This window comes from Homo sapiens, chromosome 11 (genome assembly GCF_000001405.40).
Source record: "Homo sapiens chromosome 11, GRCh38.p14 Primary Assembly".
NCBI classification, from domain to species: Eukaryota; Metazoa; Chordata; class Mammalia; order Primates; family Hominidae; genus Homo; species Homo sapiens.
In genome coordinates this window covers 77319513-77341690 of record NC_000011.10, presented here as the reverse complement: position 1 = coordinate 77341690, position 22178 = coordinate 77319513, and the positions used below count along the sequence as shown (strand labels likewise).

At 39.8% G+C, this 22178-nt stretch overlaps 1 protein-coding gene across 50 annotated transcripts in view; it reads left to right on the top strand.

Moving 5' to 3' along the window:
• PAK1 (p21 (RAC1) activated kinase 1) overlaps positions 1 to 19674 on the top strand; it is a 207993-nt gene extending 188319 nt beyond the window's left edge. For 26 of the 50 annotated variants that reach the window (XM_024448560.2, XM_047427054.1, NM_001376304.1 and 23 more), the window contains 5 exons: positions 928 to 1045; positions 4268 to 4367; positions 5409 to 5605; positions 8824 to 8961; positions 18331 to 19674. In XM_024448560.2, the coding sequence (XP_024304328.1) occupies positions 928 to 1045; positions 4268 to 4367; positions 5409 to 5605; positions 8824 to 8961; positions 18331 to 18417 (640 nt within the window). In that variant the 3' untranslated portion in view covers positions 18418 to 19674. Of the gene's footprint in view, positions 1 to 927; positions 1046 to 4267; positions 4368 to 5408; positions 5606 to 8823; positions 8962 to 12378; positions 12541 to 16314; positions 16364 to 18330 lie in introns of all 50 variants that reach the window. The other 24 variants (XM_047427049.1, NM_001376268.1, NM_001128620.2 and 21 more) reach the window with 7 other exon arrangements.

Sequence of the window (22178 nt, the reverse complement as noted above, 5' to 3'; positions counted from 1 at the left end):
TTGTCCAAGACTGGCAGAAGACTTTAGGGCTCTAGGCTCGCCTTGTTTTTATTTGTCTGATTCTATAGTAAGGAAACATTGACCAAATAGGCTAAGTGACCTTTTTATTTATCGTGTAATAGGGTTGAGTGATCCAACTCCTGAGTGAAACTATCACTTCTAACTCATGTCAGCCCATAATCTCTCTGGGGATATCTTACTAAATGGTAGTCTTGGCTTATCAGAAGGCTTTGGCTCCATAAGCCCTTGCTAAATTCATTCCATTCTTGAACCACAGACACTCAAAGTAGAGGTCAATTGTCAGCATAATGACTATGTATACAACACTTTGCAGCTTTTAAGGGGCTCCTATAAACATTATTTCGTTTAATATTTATAGTTATCTTTTATTTTTTCAGTGATTTATTTAGTAAATATTGGCATCTGCTGTGCTGGACTCTGAGGATAGAGTCTTGAACAAGACCCAATACTTGGTCTCATAGATCTCAGATCTGGTAGGACTCTCTGGGAGGTTTAGTAGCTCTCTCTTCTTTGGGTAACATGGACTCTAAATCCTATCTTTGTCAAATGTTTGGATGCTTCTAGAGGTGTGGGAATCATGTCAGTCTTTCTAATTTTAGGATGTCTTCCTTTGTGTTGTGATGAAATATAATTTTATTGTATCACTTCAAGCTAGAGATCTTAGTTCTGCCCTTTGGGGCTTCACAGAACATGTATACTTGGTTTTCTCCAGGAGCATCCTTGAGAGATTCAAAGTTAGTGATTCTGTTCCCCAGATTCTGCTTTTCCCCAAAGTAAAGAACCTTTTACTTTACTTTGTGCTAAGACGTAGTTTCACTCTGTGTATATGCTTAGCCTTTGAAACCCAGTGCTATGGCTCAGTGTACTCTGATTGTTCTCTCTCACCCTTTATCTGTATTCCTGCAGTTACCTCGTGGGAGATGAGCTGTGGGTTGTTATGGAATACTTGGCTGGAGGCTCCTTGACAGATGTGGTGACAGAAACTTGCATGGATGAAGGCCAAATTGCAGCTGTGTGCCGTGAGGTAAGGCCAAGGGCCAAGCAGTCTTGGGTAGAAAGCTGCCTCCATATTCCTGTCTCCTGAAGTTCCCTGTACAGTGAGATCTCAGCCTGGGCTCTGTGGAATTGGTAGAAATTAGTGCTGACACTGCTATCATTCCTGTATTGTACCTGTGTTTGTCATTTCTATCACCATGATTTTTTTTTTAACGATAACTTTATTCTACCCATTGTAGAAAAATTATAAAGTACTAGAAAGTATATATTGTAAAAAGTCACTCATAATTCCAGTCTTAGAGATAACCACTTGCCTAAGCACGTTATAATATATTCCTTTATCTCTTTTATCTGGGCATATATTTCAATCATTTTTATTCTGCTTTCTTGCTTTATTTATGTGCTATAAGGAAAATAAAACAGAGTAAGAAGGTAGTGATGGAGGAAGTACTATTTTAGACAAGACAGTCAGGGAAGGTTTTGCTATAGATTTGAGTAAACATCTGAATGATATATAAAAGCAAGCCAGCAAAAATCTAGGGTAAAATACTTCCAGGAAAATAAAAAAAGAAAACAAAGCTCAAATAGATACTCCCTTTCTCCTCATTGCTATTAAATGTCTAGAATTGATAATACGCTGATGTAGGAGGAAGAAAAGCCCTCCAGAAAGCCTGGACAGTGTCCTCAGGGAATAACCACATTTCATTTCCATTAGAGCAAAAAGATGAAGGGAATATTCAGAGACATTGAGGATATTGGGTGTTTTGCTGATGACAGACTGGACTTTCTGATGGCCCAATAATGCAAAAGTAATTGCGGTTTTTGCCATTACTTAAAAAAAAAAAAATACCAAAACCACAATTGCTTTTGCACCAACCTAGTAGAAAAGTTAGGAAATTAGGGGAAGCATAGAAGATGAGATGAGGTTCAGAATTTTGTGGAGATGAGTATAATAGTATGATGGGGGTTTGATGGTGCAAGAGCTGAAGGCATACTGCTGAAATTATGTAGTTATATATTTAATCAGTGTTAAGAAAAATAAAATGTGAAATCAATACTGCCCTAGAAAATAATGGTCCCCTTTGCAAACAACTTTGGGATCTAGAATGTTCACAAGTAATTGGAATTAATTAATGGAATTAATACCAGGCTGGGATTCTTAGGGGTTCTGACTTTTTTTTTTGTTCCACTACTAATGCAGTATTTCGTAACCTTCTTTTCATTATCTCCTTCTTAAGGAGGCTTTTTCCTAATCATACTCCCTGCCATGAAATTGTAATATCACAGATATATAGCTAAGCTGTTTGGGTCATAAACCATTGTAATACCTAAGATTTTTTTCACCCCACCCCCTTACCCTCAGGAACGAAGTTTCACTAGTTGAGAATACATGCATATGTATACTTTGGGAAATCATTTTGCCTCATTATTAATCTGTAAAATGGAAATTGCAACATTCACACTATATATACCTTAGGGGTGCTATATGGATCAAAAAGCACTTGGAAAAAAATGTTAATGTTGTATAATAGATGGTATTACTATTCTTCAGTTCTAATAGAGATCATCTTCTCCTTTTAAAAAATCTTTATTGAGATATAATTCACCCATTTAGAGTATATAATTCACTAGTTTTTAGTATATTCATAGAGTTGTACAGCCACCATCATAATGAATTTTAGATCCTTTTTATCACCCCAAAGAGGAAATTAATATCCATTAACAGTCACTCCCCATGTCCCCTGCCCTGACTCTCCCAGCCCTATGTAACCACTAATCTATTTTCTACCTCTGTAGTTTCCCTGTACTGGGCATTTTATATAAATGGAATCATGTAATATTTGCTCTTTTGTAATTGGCTTCTTTTACTTAGCTAGCATTATGTTTCAAAGATTCATCCATTTTGTAGCATGTATCAGTACCTCATTCCTTTTTATTGCCAAGTAATAGAATGGACATTTGGGTTGTTTCTGTTTTCGGCTGTTATAAAAAATAAAAAATTACTCTATGAACACTTATATACCAGTTTTTGTGTGGAGGTATGTTCTCATTCTCTTGGATATATAACTACAGGTGGATTGCTGGTCATATGGCAACTCTATACTCAACTTTTGAGGAACTGCCAAACTGTTTCCGTAGTAGCTGTACTGTTTTACGTTCCTGCCAGCAATGTATGAGGGTTCCAGTTTCTCAAGATAATTCTTTTTCATCATAATTTCTGACATCCTGAGACCTGTTTCTCCACCCTTCTAAGAAGAGCAGCTCTTACATTTTCAGGGAAAATCCAATTCTGGATATTGTTTTATTCTTACTTTAGCCATTGGTATATTCTTAGAAAGTAAAGTATTAGGTTAGGACCATTTAAATAGTATTTTCCTGTTCACTTATATCTTTAGTGTTTTTTAATTGGTAGAAGTTTCTAAAAAATTAGTTTTGGGTCAATGAAATCAAATTATTGATTTAGTAGAAAAGCTGAGATGATCTCATCTGATTCCCAAATTTTATAGATGGAAGTCCAGAATTATATAGTCAATGGGGTAGCAGCAGAACCAGGCATTTTAATTGTACCATTGTGTCTCTTTATTACTCATTCTGCCTGCTAAGTATAGGTGTTTTCCAAGATTCTTCTCTTTCTCCTTTACCCTTTGCCGGGTTCAACCATTTTTATAACTTAAACAAAAATCATCTCTTCCCAAATGACTTGTAAATATTTACCATAATTTATCATAAATTAAGTTGCCTACCAGACATTTGTCTTCAGATATCAAATTCAGCATATCCAAAATAGTACAAAATATCTCCTCACCAAAATAAGATTATCCTGCTAACTTACTGCTTCTAGTATCACTTCCATATGTCTGCTTCCTCAAATATGACCCTTATTTGTTGTTTTCCTCTGGTCTGTCATTATAAGATCCTTTCCATTTTTCTTCAGTAATTTCTCTTGGGCCTTAGGTCCTTTACCAAGGATCTAATTAGAAAAAAAATTACATTGGAGGAACTCCTTTACTTAAAAAAACTGTTTTAAGGTGAAAGGCAGCATGGAGTGTTAAAAGAATGTTTAGCTAGGAGATGGAAGACTTGTTTCTAGATCTGGCTCTGCGATTGATTTGGGGCAAGTCCTTTTACTCACTGGGGCCTTACTTCCTTTATTTTAAAGTGAAGAGGTTGAATTAGTGGATTTTCTATTAAGTCTTCTGTATTATATGTATGTCCTTTCTTTCTCCCCCTGCCCACACCACTTCAATAGTGTCTGCAGGCTCTGGAGTTCTTGCATTCGAACCAGGTCATTCACAGAGACATCAAGAGTGACAATATTCTGTTGGGAATGGATGGCTCTGTCAAGCTAAGTAAGTAGGAGCCTTAGGAATGATAATACTTCTCTGCCTGTGGGGCCCTGTCTCCTGTGAGATGGTCATCATATAATAGTAACTACGACACTCACCAAAGGGTCTTTATGATTTCATGGGATATGAGGGCTGTTTTATATTTTCTGTATTAATCATAGGATATCATTTCATTATTTTTTCATTCATTTATACATTTAACAACAACCACAAAAAACTTTGCTGAATGGTTACTCTGTGCTAGGTCCTGTGATGGGCACTGAGAGTAAATTTTCCCTACCTTCTCAATCTAGTATGGAAAACGTGTAATAGATAATTAGAAAAAAGAGTTTTGTATAATTTCTTTCATTCAGTTATTCAGCAAACTTTTATTGAATGTCCAGTACATGCTGGTCCTTCTAGGGATATGAGGACAAGTAAGAGGACATAATCCATACTCTCAAAGGCTTCCTAATTTAAATAAATTTATAATTGCAATATAATGTAAAAACCATGGCAGGTAGAGCATTTTGTTCAAAGGTGTAAAGACCAGTAGACCAGACAAACAGGCTGTGTCATGGGTGGATGGGCAGTTTATGGAAGGACTGCTAGCAGCCCTGGGTCTGGGGCATAAAAACAGGGCCATGCCTAGTCATAGGTGATTGGGGTTTAAATCAAGGACTCGTGCCCAAGGAATAAGACAAGGACCTAGTCGCCAGATTTGGGATTATGGGAATGGTTTTTCAAGAACAAAGCAGAATTGGGATGAGCAATCAAGACCAAAATGGGCAGCTTGGACTTTAACACTAAGTCCCCTGGTTTGAGGAGAAGTAGGAGGCCAGAGATGGTGTTTCTTATATTCCTTCTATTTCTCTTCAGGGTTCAATAGGAAATAGGCTAGGAGCTAGACATGAAGGTGGTAGTCAAGTGACTTTGGAGAGACAAAGGATAGCAGAGCTGGAAGCCAGGCGGATCTTGTCACCTATGTGTAGGTACACAGTCAACACTTACTGAAGTGAGTGTATATCCTAAATGTATGTTCTTTCTCTTATTTTTCTTTTCTAGCTGACTTTGGATTCTGTGCACAGATAACCCCAGAGCAGAGCAAACGGAGCACCATGGTAGGAACCCCATACTGGATGGCACCAGAGGTTGTGACACGAAAGGCCTATGGGCCCAAGGTTGACATCTGGTCCCTGGGCATCATGGCCATCGAAATGATTGAAGGGGAGCCTCCATACCTCAATGAAAACCCTCTGAGAGTGAGTGTTACCAGTTCTATTTCAAGTTATTTGGGCTGTTGTCTCTAGTCCCAGGAAATAAGAATCCAGGGTGTTCTCTGTGGTTTTCAACCTGGAGATCCCTTTTCTGGATACAACTAGTCACTGTTGAACTTAAAGTATAAATGGCCAAAGAAAAGGAATATTAGAAGTCACTCATTCATTTATTCAACAATTATTTGAGTCCCTGTCAAGTGCAAGAAACTATTCTAATGAAAATAAAATAAATTAATATGTAGTAACAGATGGTAAATGCTGTGAGAAAAAGCAAAGTAAGGGAGTTAACAGAGTAATGGAGGAACAGGTGTGCTATTTTAGAGTAGAGAGGGAAGTTCTCTCTTATAAGTTATTTTATTCTGCAGAGTTGGGAAGTCATTAGAGGGTTTTGAGCTGAGGAGTAATGTGATCTGATTTATGTTTTAAACAGATCATTTTGGCCGCTTTTATGGAAAATAGACTGCGAGAGACTGTTGTAATAGTTCAGAGTGGTGGTGTCTTGGTAGGAGTGGAAGTGAGAAGTGGTCAGATTCAGGAAATTAAAGGACTAGCTGACAAGATGAACTGAATATTAGAGAAAGAGGAATCAGCAATGACTACAAGATTTCTGGTCTGAATTGCTGAAAAAATTCAGTTGCCATCTGTTGAAATGGTGAAGAGCATACTTAAGTTGGGTAATAAAGAGTTGGTTTTGAATGTGCTGATTTGAAGTGTTAATTGGACATTTAAGTGGAGCTGGAGTAGAGTTTGGCTTAAGAGTCTGGAGTTCAAGGGTGAGAAGTCAGGACTATAAACATAAATTTATTAGTAGATAATATATAGTTGGTATATATAGTAGGTAGATGAGATCACTCACCTAGGGAATGAGTACAGTTAAAGAAAAGAGATTTGAGTACTGAGCTCTAGGTTATTCCACTGTTTACAGGTTGGAAGAACTAGCAAAGTAGACCAAGGAGTGGCCTTTCTAGTGTGAGAGAACAGAGAAGTGTCTTGGAGGTGAAGTGTCCTGGAGATGAAGAGAACAGTGTGCTTCCCGAAGGAGGAGGAGGGTAGATTATGTGTCAAATGTGATTGATAGGTTAAGATGAGACTGAGAAATGAACATTGGATTTGCCAATGTAGAGGTTCTTAATGACCTTAATAATCAGTTATCAGTAGAGAGATGGGGATGAAAGTCTAATTAAATTCATGAAAGTGGAAGAAGAGGACATTGAGATGGCATGTATAAACAGGTTTTTTTTTCTCTTAAAGGAATTTTGCTGGGAAGGGTAACAAAAATGGAGCACTATCTTAAAATGGAGTCAAGGGAGGGTTTTTCTAAAAGATGATGTCTGTGTGCTAATGGGAATGATTTAGTGGAGAGGAGGAAAATGGTCATGTACAAGAAGGAAGTGACAACCATAGAAGTGATATCCTTAAGTCGATGAGAGGGGTTCGATCAAGTACTGAAGTAAAGGACATTAGATTAGCATGGACAATTTATCCCTTGTAACAGAGCATCTCAACACAGGTGCAAATAGGTTGGTAATCTTGGTGTGGGCAAATGTGAAATTTATTCTGATTGCTTTTATTTTCTCATTTATTCCCACCTCCCATCCAGTGCAGGAATTCCCTGTGCACTGTTGCTGGTAGGTGGTCATCTACATGCTCATGTCATCCTTGAATATCTCTGATTATTGGAAATTGCTTCAGTGCACCAAACTGAAACTACCTTCTGTAGTTTCTATCCTTTGATCCCAGCTTTGCCTCTGACTCCACATACAACATACTCTTCCCTCCCTTAGAACGGCCTTGCAGATATTTGAAGATGATAATTGCTGGGATATGTTGGAAATAAGACAGAATGATCCTAGACATAGGCATATTTTTTTATTTTTTTATTTTTATTTTATTTTTTTTTTTGAGATGGAGTCTCACTCTGTCACCTAGGCTGGAGTGCAATGGTGTGATCTCAGCTCACCGCAACCTCCACCTCCCAGGTTCAAGCGATTCTCCTGCCTCAGCCTCCTGAGTAGCTGGGATTACAGGCACCTGCCACCATGCCCAGCTAAGTTTTGTATTTTTAGTAGAGACCACATTTCGCCATATTGGTCAGGCTGTTCTCGATGGTCTCGAACTCCTGACCTCAGGTGATCCACCCACCTCAGCCTCCCAAAGTGCTGGGATTACAGGAGTGAGCCACCACGCCCGGCCCTAGACATATCTTTTTATGTTTCCGGACCCTATCTGTGAAGTGAAGATGATAAGTCTTGCCCTATTACCCAGAGTTAATTGTGGCCATTAAATTAGACAGTGCTTATGTAAGTACTCTTTGAATTAAGTGCTGAGTGCTTGTAAAGATTTAGTCTTACTGTTTTTCTTTACCTTTCCCAGGAGACGCTTCATTTAGGGGACTAGGGTGGCAACAGTTTTCACTTACATTTAATATTCCTTTCCTGCTAGAAGAGATCAGTTCTTGGATGACTGAGGTGAAGGCACCAGGAATAATTTCTGCCAGCAGCTGGGCAGATGTTTAACTCAACAGGCTAAATGGATAATAAACCCTTCAGATGTGTAAGCAAGAATAATAATAAAGCCAGGCACAGTGACTCACGCCTGTAATCCCAGCACTTTGGGAGGTTGAGGCAGGAGGATCACTTGAGTCTAGGAGTTTGAGACCAGCCAGGCCAACATGGTAAAACCCCGTCTCTACTGAAAATACGAAAAGCAGTCGGGTGTAGTGGCTGGTGCCTGTAATCCCAGCTACTTGGGAGGCTGAGTCAGGAGAATTGCTTGAACCTGGGAGGTGGAGGTTGCAGTGAGCCAAGATCGTGCCACTGCACTCCAGCCTGGGCGACAGAGCAAGACTCCATCTCAAAAAAAAAAAAAAAAAAAAAGAAGAAGAAGAATAAACCCTTAGGTCTGTAACATATTTCATAAGTTTACAAAGTACTTTCAAATACACTATCTTATTTTATTTTTACAGACATGTGAGATGGGCATTATCATCATCCCTACTTTACAGACAGGGAAGTTGTACATAGTCCCATGGCCTTTAAATGTTCAACCTGATCCTTAGGTCATACTCTTTCCAGTATATATACACAGCTGCTACTTTGCATCCTAGAGCATAAAGCAGCTGACCATATTTCTAGAACTTGTATATGGGGAACAAGAGAGAGCCTCATTTGGAGCTCAAGGTGATTCACCATTTTTATTGCCAGGCCTTGTACCTCATTGCCACCAATGGGACCCCAGAACTTCAGAACCCAGAGAAGCTGTCAGCTATCTTCCGGGACTTTCTGAACCGCTGTCTCGAGATGGATGTGGAGAAGAGAGGTTCAGCTAAAGAGCTGCTACAGGTAACTGTCCTTATGCAGGGAAGCACCTAATTCAGGGAATCACTAAACCAGGCCTTTTTTACTTCATGTTTGTAAGGTACTGGATATTATAGAACTAGGCTTCTCTTCTACCACTTCCTACACTCACTCTGTTCCTACTGCCCTTTTATCCCTGGGCCTTTGCTCATTTATTTTCTTAGCCTTTCTCAGCCTGTTAAAACTCTACACGTTCTCCTAGGCTCAGTTTACAATCTATTTTCTGAGCACCTATTGAGCTTTGCTTGTAGCTTTTTTGCTTGCTTCCTTCCTTCCTTTCCTTTCTTCTTCCTTTCCCTTTCCTTCCCTTCCTTTCCCTTCCCTTCCCTTCCCTTCCCTTCCCTTCCTTTCCCTTCCCTTCCCTTTCCCCCCCCTCTTCCCTCTCCCCCTTCCTCTCACGCCCCACAGGGTCTCACTCTGTCACCCAGGCAGGAGTGTGCAATGGCGTGATTTTGTCTCACTGCAGTCTTCCTCTCCTGGGTTCACTCAAGTGATCTTCCCACCTCAGCCTCCCAGGTAGCTCAGACTACAGGTGCACGCCACCATACCTGGCTAGTTTTTTAAAAACTTTTTTGTAGAGACGGGGTTTTGCTATGTTGGCCGTGCATGGTCTCAAATTCCTGGGTTCAAGCGATCTGCGCACTTCGCTTTCCCAAAGTGCTGGGACTACAGGCATGGGCCACCATGACCAGCCTGCTTGTATCTTTCATTAGCACTTCCTTTGTTCTGTTTGAATTAGTCTGGCAGAGTTTGTTTGAGTCTTGTTGAGAAACGGGTCTCTGACACCCAAATCTTACACAACTTATATTTTGCTGGGATTAGCTCAAAGGATACATTTTTAGCAAAGGAACATAAGTTTATTTTATTTTATTTATGTTTTATTTTTCTTTCTTTTTTTTTAATTCTTTTTTTTTTACATTTTATTATTATTATACTTTTAAGTTTTAGGGTACATGTGCACAACGTGCAGGTTTGTTACATATGTATACATGTACCATGTTGGTGTGCTGTACCCATTAACTCGTCATTTAGCATTAGGTATATCTCTTAATGCTATCCCTCCACCCTCCCCTGACCCCACAACAGTCCCGGGTGTGTGATGTTCCCCTTCCTGTGTCCATGTGTTCTCATTGTTCATTTCCTACCTATGAGTGAGAACATGCAGTGTTTGGTTTTTTGTCCTTGCAATAGTTTGCTGAGAATGATGGTTTCCAGTTTCATCCATGTCCCTACAAAGGACATGAACTCATCATTTTTTATGGCTGCATAGTATTCCATGGTGTATATGTGCCACATTTTCTTAATCCAGTCTATCGTTGTTGGACATTTAGGTTGGTTCCAAGTCTTTGCTGTTGTGAATAGTGCCACTATAAACATACGTGTGCATGTGTCTTTACAGCAGCATGATTTATAATCCTTTGGGTATATACCCAGTAATGGGATGGCTGGGTCAAATGGTATTTCTAGTTCTAGATCCCTGAGGAATTGCCACACTGACTTCCACAATGGTTGAACTAGTTTACACTCCCACCAACAGTGTAAAAGTGTTCGTATTTCTCCACATCCTCTCCAGCACGTGTTGTTTCCTGACTTTTTAATGATCGCCATTCTAACTGGTGTGAGATGGTATCTCATTGTGGTTTTGATTTGCATTTCCCTGATGGCCAGTGATGATGAGCATTTTTTATGTGTTTTTTGGCTATGTAAATGTCTTCTTTTGAGAAGTGTCTGTTCATATCCTTCGCCCACTTTTTGATGGGGTTGTTTGTTTTTTTCTTGTAAATTTGTTTGAGTTCGTTGTAGATTCTGGATATTAGCCCTTTGTCAGATGAGTAGGTTGCAAAAATTTTCTCCCATCCTGTAGGTTGCCTGTTCACTCTGATGGTGGTTTCTTTTGCTGTGCAGAAGCTCTTTAGTTTAATTAGATCCCATTTGTCAATTTTGGCTTTTGTTGCCATTGCTTTTGGTGTTTTAGACATGAAGTCCTTGCCCATGCCTATGTCCTGAATGGTATTGCCTAGGTTTTCTTCTAGGGTTTTTATCATTTTAGGTCTAACATTTAAGTCTCTAATCCATCTTGAATTAATTTTTGTATAAGGTGTAAGGAAGGGATCCAGTTTCAGCTTTCTACATATGGCTAGCCAGTTTTCCCAGCACCATTTATTAAATAGGGAATCCTTTCCCCATTGCTTGTTTTTGTCACGTTTGTCAAAGATCAGATAGTTGTAGATATGCGGCGTTATTTCTGAGGGCTCTGTTCTGCTCCATTGGTCTATATCTCTGTTTTGGTACCAGTACCATGCTGTTTTGGTTACTGTAGCCTTGTAGTATAGTTTGAAGTCAGGTAGTGTGATGCCTCCAGCTTTGTTCTTTGGGCTTAGGATTGACTCGGCGATGCGGGCTCTTTTTTGGTTCCATATGAACTTTAAAGTAGTTTTTTCCAATTCTGTGAAGAAAGTCATTGGTAGCTTGATGGGGATGGCATTGAATCTATAAATTACCTTGGGCAGTATGGCCATTTTCACGATATTGATTCTTCCTACCCACGAGTATGGAACGTTCTTCCATTTGTTTGTATCCTCTTTTATTTCATTGAGCAGTGGTTTGTAGTTCTCCTTGAAGAGGTCCTTCACATCTCTTGTAAGTTGGATTCCTAGGTATTTTATTCTCTTTGAAGCAATTGTGAATGGGAGTTCACTCATGATTTGGCTCTCTGTTTGTCTGTCATTGGTGTATAAGAATGCTTGTGATTTTTGTACATTGATTTTGTATCCTGAGACTTAGCTGAAGTTGCTTATCAGCTTGAGGAGATTTTGGGCTGAGATGATGGGGTTTTCTAAATATACAATCATGTCATCTGCAAACAGGGACAATTTGACTTCTTTTTTTCCTAATTGAATGCCCTTTATTTCCTTCTCCTGCCTGATTGCCCTGGCCAGAACTTCCAACACTATGTTGAATAGGAGTGGTGAGAGAGGGCATCCCTGTCTTGTGCCAGTTTTCAAAGGGAATGCTTCCAGTTTTTGCCCATTCAGTATGATATTGGCTGTGGGTTTGTCATAGATAGCTCTTATTATTTTGAGATATGTCCCATCAATACCTAATTTATTGAGAGTGTTTAGCATGAAGGGTTGTTGAATTTTGTCAAAGGCCTTTTCTGCATCTATTGAGATAATCATGTGGTTTTTGTCTTTAGTTCTGTTTATACCTTGGATTACATTTATTGATTTGCGTATGTTGAACTGGCTTTGCATCCCAGGGATGAAGCCCACTTGATCATGGCGGATAAGCTTTTTGATGTGCTGCTGGATTCGGTTTGCCAGTATTTTACTGAGGATTTTTGCATCGATGTTCATCAAGGATATTGGCTAAAATTCTCTTTTTTTGTTGTGTCTCTGCCAGGCTTTGGTATCAGGATGATGCTGGCCTCATAAAATGAGTTAGGGAGGATTCCCTCTTTTTCTGTTGATTGGAATAGTTTCAGAAGGAATGGTACCATTTCCTCCTTGTACCTCTGGTACAATTCGGCTGTGAATCCATCTGGTCCTGGACTCTTTTTGGTTGGTAAGCTATTGATTATTGCCTCAATTTCAGATCCTGTTATTGGTCTATTCAGAGATTCAGCTTCTTCCTGGTTTAGTCTTGGGAGGATGTATGTGTCGAGGAATTTATCCATTTCTTCTAGATTTTCTAGTTGATTTGCATAGAGGTGTTTATAGTATTCTCTGATGGTAGTTTGTATTTCTGTGGGATCGGTGGTGATCTCCCCTTTATCATTTTTGATTGCGTCTATTTGATTCTTCTCTCTTTTCTTCTTTATTAGTCTTGCTAGCGGTCTATCAATTTTGTTGATCCTTTCAAAAAACCAGCTCCTGGATTCATTAATTTTTTGAAGGGTTTTTTGTGTCTCTATTTCCTTCAGTTCTGCTCTGATCTTAGTTATTTCTTGCCTTCTGCTAGCTTTTGAATGTGTTTGCTCTTGCTTTTCTAGTTCTTTTAATTGTGATGTAAGGGTGTCAATTTTAGATCTTTCCTGCTTTCTCTTGTGGGCATTTAGTGCTATACATTTCCCTCTACACACTGCTTTGAATGTGTCCCAGAGATTCTGGTATGTTGTCTTTGTTCTCGTTGGTTTCAAAGAACATCTTTATTTCTGCCTTCATTTCATTATTTACCCAGTAGTCATTCGGGAGCAGGTTGTTCAGTTTCCATGTAGTTGAGCAGTTTTGAGTGAGTTTCTTAATCCTGAGTTCTAGTTTGATTGCACTGTGGTCTGAGAGACAGTTTGTTATAATTTCTGTTCTTTTACATTTGCTGAGGAGTGCTTTACTTCCAACTATGTGGTCAATTTTGGAGTAGGTGTGGTGTGGTGCTGAAAAGAATGTATATTCTGTTGATTTGGGGTGGAGAGTTCTGTAGATGTCTATTAGGTCCTCTTGTTGCAGAGCTGAGTTCAATTCCTGGGTATCCTTGTTAACTTTCTGTCTCGTTGATCTGTCTAATGTTGACAGTGGGGTGTTAAAGTCTCCCATTATTATTGTGTTGGAGTCTAAGTCTCTTTGTAGGTCACTAAGGACTTGCTTTATGAATCTGGGTGCTCCTGTATTGGGTGCATATATATTTAGGATAGTTAGCTCTTGTTGTTGAATTGATCCCTTTACCATTATGTAATGGCCTTCTTTGTCTCTTTTGATCTTTGTTGGTTTAAAGTCTGTTTTATCAGAGACTAGGATTGCAATCCCTGCCTTCTTTTGGTTTCCATTTGCTTGGTAGATCTTCCTCCATCCCTTTATTTTGAGCCTATGTGTGTCTCTGCACGTGAGATGGGTTTCCTGAATACAGCACACTGATGAGTCCTGACTCTTTATCCAGTCTGCCAGTCTGTGTCTTTTAATTGGAGCATTTAGCCCATTTACGTTTAAAGTTAATATTGTTATGTGTGAATTTGATCCTGTCATTATGATGTTAGCTGGTTATTTTGCTCGTTAGTTGGTGCAGTTTCTTCCTAGCCTTGATGGTCTTTACAATTTGGCATGTTTTTGCAGTGGCTGGTACTGGTTGTTCCTTTCCATGTTTAGTGCTTCCTTCAGGAGCTCTTGTAAGGCAGGCCTGGTGGTGACAAAATCTCTCAGCATTTGCTTGTCTGTAAAGGATTTTATTTCTCCTTCACTTATGAAGCTTAGTTTGGCTGGATATGAAATTCTGGGTTGAAAATTCTTTTCTTTAAGAATGTTGAATATTGGCCCCCACTCTCTTCTGGCTTGTAGAGTTTCTGCTGAGAGATCAGCTTTTAGTCTGATGGGCTTCCCTTTGTGGGTAACCCGACCTTTCTCTCTGGCTGCCCTTAACATTTTTTCCTTCATTTCAACTTTGGTGAATCTGACAATTATGTGTCTTGGAGTTGCTCTTCTCGAGGAGTATCTTTGTGGCATTCTCTGTATTTCCTGAATTTGAATGTTGGCCTGCCTTGCTAGATTGGGGAAGTTCTCCTGGATAATATACTGCAGAGTGTTTTCCAACTTGGTTCCATTCTCCCCGTCACTTTCAGGTATACCAATCAGACGTAGATTTGGCCTTTTCACATAGTCCCATATTTCTTGGAGGCTTTGTTCGTTTCTTTTTATTCTTTTTTCTCTAAACTTCTCTTCTCGCTTCATTTCATTCATTTCGTCTTCCATCACTGATACCCTTTCTTCCAGTTGATCGCATCGGCTCCTGAGGCTTCTGCATTCGTCACGTAGCTCTCGTGCCTTGGTTTTCAGCTCCATCAGGTCCTTTAAGGACTTGTCTGCATTGATTATTCTTGTTATCCATTCATCTTATTTTTTTTCAAAGCTTTTAACTTCTTTGCCATTGATTCGAATTTCCTCCTGTAGCTCAGAGTAGTCTGATCATCTGAGGCCTTCTTTCAACTCGTCAGAGTCATTCTCCATCCAGCTTTGTTCCGTTGCTGGTGAGGAGCTGCGTTCCTTTGGAGGAGGAGAGGCGCTCTGATTTTTAGAGTTTCCAGTTTTTCTGCTCTGTTTTTTCGAGACAGGATCTCTCTCTGTTGCCCAGGCTGGAGTGCATGGCGCAATCATGGCTCACTGTAGCCTCAACCTCCCCAGGTTCTGCTGATCTTCCCACTTCAGCCTCCAGAGTAGCTGGGACTATAGGCGTGCACCACCATACCTGCCTAATTTTTCTATTTTTTGTAAAGACAGGGTTTTGCCATGTTGCTCAGGCTGGGCTCAAACGATCTGCCCACCACAGTCTCCCAAAGTGCTGGAATTACAGGCATGGCATCAGCCACCATGCCCATCCATGGAACATAAGTTTAGAAGATAATTAGTGAGTGTGGCTTTTGGAGTCTTTACACTTTATTCATTGGAAATCCTCAGATAATGGCAATGATACTCTACTTATTGAGAGTGAGATTTTGCCAGTTTGTGGGGAAACCCGGAGTCAGGGGTTTACTAGGCCTTTTATACTCCTGCCTGCCTAATCCTGATAATTTTATATGGTTGCAAAAATTGCCTTTAGCAGGCCGCATCATTTGTATTTAACATATATGTTTCAAGTACAATTTCTTATAACTAGTGTTCTTTTATTGTATTGCCCACTAGTGATCTAATAGTAAGTATCACATGCAACTTTATGAAGGCATGCACTGTCATTTGCTTTCGTATTATGAAGCCCAGAAGTGACAGAGCAGGGCAGGGCAGGGCAGGGCATACTGCCCTGTGTTAATTATGAATCTCTTTCCTATTGGATTATAACCTCTATTTTGTTAATCCCTGAGTCTCATGTTTTACCTAGGACTTGACTCAGGATAGGTACTCAAAATATATTTATTGAATTGAATGAAATTACTGGAAGAACCCACATTGGAATATCACCCTCTGGAACATACTTAGCATGTCTTTGTAATTGAGGTTACTGATTATGGCATACTGGCCTATTAGTTATGAGATCTGGGTTCTGCCAAGTATAACCCATTAGTCTCTAGTATCTGTTGGAACTAAAAGTCTCTTAGTACAATGTAGGACCCCTTTTGCTGTTCATGAGAGTTGTATTCTGGAAACTGTGGGCACTGGGAAATGTGTAAATACTATATGCTAAGCCTGCGATTAGTAAAGATACCATTCTTAATTAAATACCAAATTATAGTTCTTGAAAGGTTAGTGACCTCTAAAGTTTTCTTCCTGATATAGTAATATAACTAGTAATAAATGGGTTATATTGAATCTTTACCATATTTTAGGCACTAAACACTTTATATATTTAGGCACTAAGCACTTTATATATTGTCCTTTACAACAACTCTGTGAGTCATAGGTTCTATTCTCATTTTTACAGGTGAGAAAACTGAGGTTTCAAGTGTTTAGTAACTTTTCCATGATAGCTGGTAAGTAGCAGATCCAGGATTTCAGCCTGTTTGGCTCTCAAGTGTGTATGCTCTTGGCCACTGCTCTTAATAGGCTCAAAGAGTATCACAACTGGAAGCCCTTAGGGCTCATCTAGTCTGTTTTGTTTATTAGACAGAGAAGGAAACTGAGGCCTCCCAATTCGATGTTGGATCATGCTGCTCTCAACTTAGGGGAATTGCAGAAACATGTGATCTGAGAAAGCTGGCTTTTTAACTTGTTGGTGTACATTGTAAATATTGAAAACCATGACTTTGAGAATCACAAATCATAAAAGCTTCACATCTGTTTCTCCTGTGAGAACACACTTATAGACAGAAATACATAGAATGATATATATTGGAATTCATATCTTCATGATTTAGCTAGGATCTTTTATTCCTTTCATAGTAATAGTACGTTCTTGTTCTCAGTAGCTCTTTATACTATCTCTGTCCCAACAGAAGTTGCAGCAATTCTCAGCAAAGAATATTAGTATATATGTTTCTCTCTCTTTCTCTTTCTCTCTCTCTCTCTGTCTCTCTCTCTCTCTGTGTGTGTGTGTGTGTGTGTGTGTGTATACATATATACAATATGACTAATCAAGGGAATTGTAAGTATGGCAGAAGAATCAGATATGCTCATGTGAGTTGAGTAGTTATGTTTAGAGGTCAAATCTGGTTCTCAATTTCCTGGTAGCCAGGGCAGAAAAGGAAATGTGATAGCTCCTATATTTTTTATCAAATAGAAGAACATCCTACAGCTTTAAGACACAAAGCTTTTTTACTACTAAATGTTTAAAAAGAAAAAAAAGCACCATTTTTAAGAGGCTCTGAGAATTACATAAGGAATTGTTAGACCAGGCACGGTGGCTCATGCCTGTTATCCCAGCACTTCGCGAGGCTGAGGCCAGTGGATCAGTTGAGGTCAGGAGTTTGAGACTAGCCTGGACAGTATGGCAAAACCCCGTCTCTACTAAAAATACAAAAATTAGCCAGGTGTGGTGGCGGGCGCCTGTAGTCCCAGCTATTCGGGAGGTTGAGGCAGGAGAATTGCTTGAACCCAGGAGGCGGAGGTTGCAGTGAGCCGAGACCGCACCACTGCACTCCAGCCTGGGCAACAGAGTGAGACTCCGTCTCAAAAAAAAAAAAAAAAAAGGAATTGCTTTCTGTAACAGTTTTACTGAAAATTTAGATGCAATTTTCATATAATATTTTCTCCTAAATAGTCATTAAATGTTGAAGGTATGGCCCAAAGTACAGCCCAGTGAAAGTGATTTGGGAAAGGACCAAGCTACTGAACTTTTTACTGAATGATTAGCATTATTGGATTTGAGGATAGAACAATAAATTCCTAGATCAATGCTCCTAAAATGCAGTATTGCGATATACTACTGGGTCATGATCTATTAATACCTTCCCCAGAGGTAATTATTATTCTGATTATCACCATGGTTAGGCTTACCTCGGAAGAAATGGAATAATACAATATGAACTTGCTTGTCTGGCTTCTTTCCCTTAATGTGTCTGTGAGATTCAACCCATTTGTCAGTGTACCAATTACTTATTGTATTGCTGTGTAATTTTCTGTATAGTATTATATGAATATAACACTATTCATTTTTCCATTCTCTTGGACATTTGGGTTCTTTCTGGTTATTGGCTATTATAAGCAAATCTTTTATGAACATTTCTGTGTATGTCTTTTGGTGGCTATACAAACTAATTTCTCTTGGGAATATACCTAGGATTGGAATTACTAGAGTATAGGTAGATGTATTTATCTGTAAGTAGATGCTGCCAAACAGTTTTCCAAAGTGGTCTGTTTTAAGATGTCCTTCAATTTGGGGATGATCAGAAGCTTTCCACACAGCACCCTTTACAAACAAAGATGCCTTTATGTCTTGTAATGGTTACTGGGGAAGAATGTTAAATAGTCATGTGTCTTTTGCTATTTTTCTCCTTTCTAGCATCAATTCCTGAAGATTGCCAAGCCCCTCTCCAGCCTCACTCCACTGATTGCTGCAGCTAAGGAGGCAACAAAGAACAATCACTAAAACCACACTCACCCCAGCCTCATTGTGCCAAGCCTTCTGTGAGATAAATGCACATTTCAGAAATTCCAACTCCTGATGCCCTCTTCTCCTTGCCTTGCTTCTCCCATTTCCTGATCTAGCACTCCTCAAGACTTTGATCCTTGGAAACCGTGTGTCCAGCATTGAAGAGAACTGCAACTGAATGACTAATCAGATGATGGCCATTTCTAAATAAGGAATTTCCTCCCAATTCATGGATATGAGGGTGGTTTATGATTAAGGGTTTATATAAATAAATGTTTCTAGTCTTCCGTGTGTCAAAATCCTCACCTCCTTCATAACCATCTCCCACAATTAATTCTTGACTATATAAATTTATGGTTTGATAATATTATCAATTTGTAATCAATTGAGATTTCTTTAGTGCTTGCTTTTCTGTGACTCAACTGCCCAGACACCTCATTGTACTTGAAAACTGGAACAGCTTGGGAATGCCATGGGGTTTGATAATCTGCCAGGGACATGAAGAGGCTCAGCTTCCTGGACCATGACTTTGGCTCAGCTGATCCTGACATGGGAGAACAACCACATTTTTCTTTGTGTGTGCTTCTAGCAGCTGTTCGGGAGGACCTTGACCCAATAGTGTTCCCATGCTGTTTCTTGTGAAATGCTCTCGGCTATGTAGCAGCTTTTGATTCCCTGCATACCCTAGGCTGCTGCCCCTATCCTGTCCCTTGTTTATAACATTGAGAGGTTTTCTAGGGCACATACTGAGTGAGAGCAGTGTTGAGAAGTCGGGGAAAATGGTGACTACTTTTAGAGCAAGGCTGGGCATCAGCACCTGTCCAGCTCTACTTGTGTGATGTTTCAGGAACTCAGCCCCTTTTTCTGCCTAGGATAAGGAGCTGAAAGATTAACTTGGATCTTCTAATGGTCCAAATCTTTTGGTCACAATAAAGAGTCTCCAAATTAGAGACTGCATGTTAGTTCTGGATGGATTTGGTGGCCTGACATGATACCCTGCCAGCTGTGAGGGGACCCCGTTTTTAAGATGCATGGCCAAGCTCTCTGCAAATGGAAATGCTTACACTGGGTGTTGGGGATGTTTGCTACCTCCTGCTATTTTTGTGGTTTTGGTTCTCCCACTATGGTAGGACCCCTGGCCAGCATTGTGGCTTGTCATGTCAGCCCCATTGACTACCTTCTCATGCTCTGAGGTACTACTGCCTCTGCAGCACAAATTTCTATTTCTGTCAATAAAAGGAGATGAAAATATTCTATTGGAGTATGCCTTTCTTTTTTCTCTTCGTTTTTTCTTTCCTTTTCTAATTTTTTATATGAAATAATGAGTAGTTTCTTCCTGAACCATTTGAGAGTGGTAAGTTGCAGATAGAATGCCCCTTTACCACTATATACCTGAATGTGTATTCTTTCTTTTTAACACTTTTATTTTAAATATAAATTAAGAGAAATGGGCCAAAACCATTTGTATTGTTTAAAGAATAATTATAAACACACTTGTATCCACCAAATCAAGAAATGGAACACTGACAGTAAGAACCTTCTCTATCTTGTCCTTCCTTTCTCATTATAGCCCCCACCTAAGAGGTAACCACCATCTTGACTTTTATTTAAATAACTTTCTTGCTTTTCTGTATACTTTCATCACATTCAGGTGTGTTCCAATACAAGTAGATTTTAGTTCGGCCAGTTTTTGAACTTTAAATAAACATATCATAATAGATATATTCTTTTGTGCCTGTTATTGTTTCCACTCAAGATTATGTTTTTAAAATATATGTACCTAGTTTGTGTGTAGCTCTAGTTCATGTATTATTCCGGCTGTAGGCACTTGAGAGGAAAGTTAACTTGTCCAAGATGAATTCCCTGAGGACTGGCCTCCCAAAGGATTTGGTTTTCTGCAGAACTCTATCATAATGGACTACAGCCAACTGCTCAAGGCAGTCATACCTGGTAGAATTCTCAGGTGGCTAATTAGGCCATGGGTCTATCACATCCTACAGCTACAACCATAAGGCTTGAGCCCCAGCTCTGATCACACCAGAGAAAATGCTTCTCAAAGATGGCACAACAGAGCTAGAGGCCAGTGTTCTGTCGTGTGGTTTTACTATTGGATCCCAGCACCTAATACTACTAGAGAAGATGTAGTGCTTCTTAGGTGTGCAAAATATAATCCCCATGGCTCAATGCCTGTAGTCCTTCTCCGGAGTATGATATCTGGGCCCTACTACATTTCTTTGCCCCAGAAGGTGATGGGCATTAGAGTTTCCACACTCTGGATAATGTTCCTATAACCACACGTTTCCACCAATAAAGCAGGCTCCAAAAGGTCTGGAGTGGATACTGCCTCATCAGCTGCACACTTCATAATGGCAGCAGTAACTGTGTATTATGGAAACCAACCAAGGAATTAGAGAACCAAGATTCACCTTGGGTGAGAAAATGCCCTCTTGGCACAGGAGCTGGCCAGCCATATTCAAAGACTGGGATTGTGGGTCACTGACTGGTTGCAGGAACAAAACCTGCCAAGCCAAGGAATTTAAGAGTTATATTTCTGAGAATGGAGATCTAGGGGTGGGGGATGTCACCCAGGATGGTATTCCAAGATTGTTTTTAAGAACCTTAGAGTCACCTTTGAGGAGACTTTCACTGCAGCAAGGCTGGACTACTAGCTCTGATTAAGTTCCTGAGAATCTTAGATTCACTGTGAACCAGAGACTTGAGGTAGAACTTAAGTGATGATCTCTTCAGGGACAGAATTCTGTGGTTACTAATGACCTTGGAGGAAGCTGTCTCCCAGGAGGGGTTTGTTGAGAGTAAGGCTGAATCAGTACTGGATGAATTTTAAACTAAAATGTGGAATATGTCCCCCGATGACATGCCCCTTGTGTAAAGAATGGCATATGACCTTACCTGAGCAGAGCCAATCAAATGGGACCCTTCCCTGATGTTCCTCCCTTGGCTGTGAGTGAGGAGCAGCTTGAGATGTCAGTGTTACTAAGGTGTTGCTCTTTCCTAAAAAGCAAAGATTAGGAAGGCCTAAAGAGGTGGTCTATGTGAGATGCAAAAAAGATATCTAGTACAGTAGGCCCCACTTATCCACTGCTTCACTTTCCGTGGTTTTAGTAACCCACAGAACAATAAGATATTTTGAGAGAGACCACATTCACATGTTTTATTATAATGTATTGTTATAACTGTTCTATTTTATTACTGTTGTTAATCTCTTACTGTGCCTAATATGTTAACCTTTATTATAGGTCTATATGTGTAGGAAAAAAAAAAACAGTGTATACAGGGTTTGGTACTATCCATGGTTTTAGACACCCATTGGAGGTCTTGAACATATCTCCTGCAGATAAGCGGGGACTACTGTATAAGGTATTGGCTCATGTGATTATGGAGGCTAACTCTTGGGATCTGCTCCACAAGCTTGAGACCCAGCAAAGTTGGTGGCATAGTTTGAAGGCTGGAGAGCCAGGGAGCCAATGGAGTAGATTCCAGTCTGAGTCTGAAGGACTGAGGACAGGAGCTCTGAGGGCAGAAGAAGATCAATGTCTCAACTCAAAACAGGCAGAAAGCAAATTCAACCGTCCTTTGCCTTTCTGTTCCATTCAGTCCATCAGCAGAAGGGATGATGCCCTTTCATGCTGGGGCGTGCCACCAGCTTTCTTCAGTCCACCAAATCAAATGTGCCCCTCTTCTGAACTCACCCTCACAGACACAGCCAGAAGTAACAGTTAACCAGCCATCTGGGCATC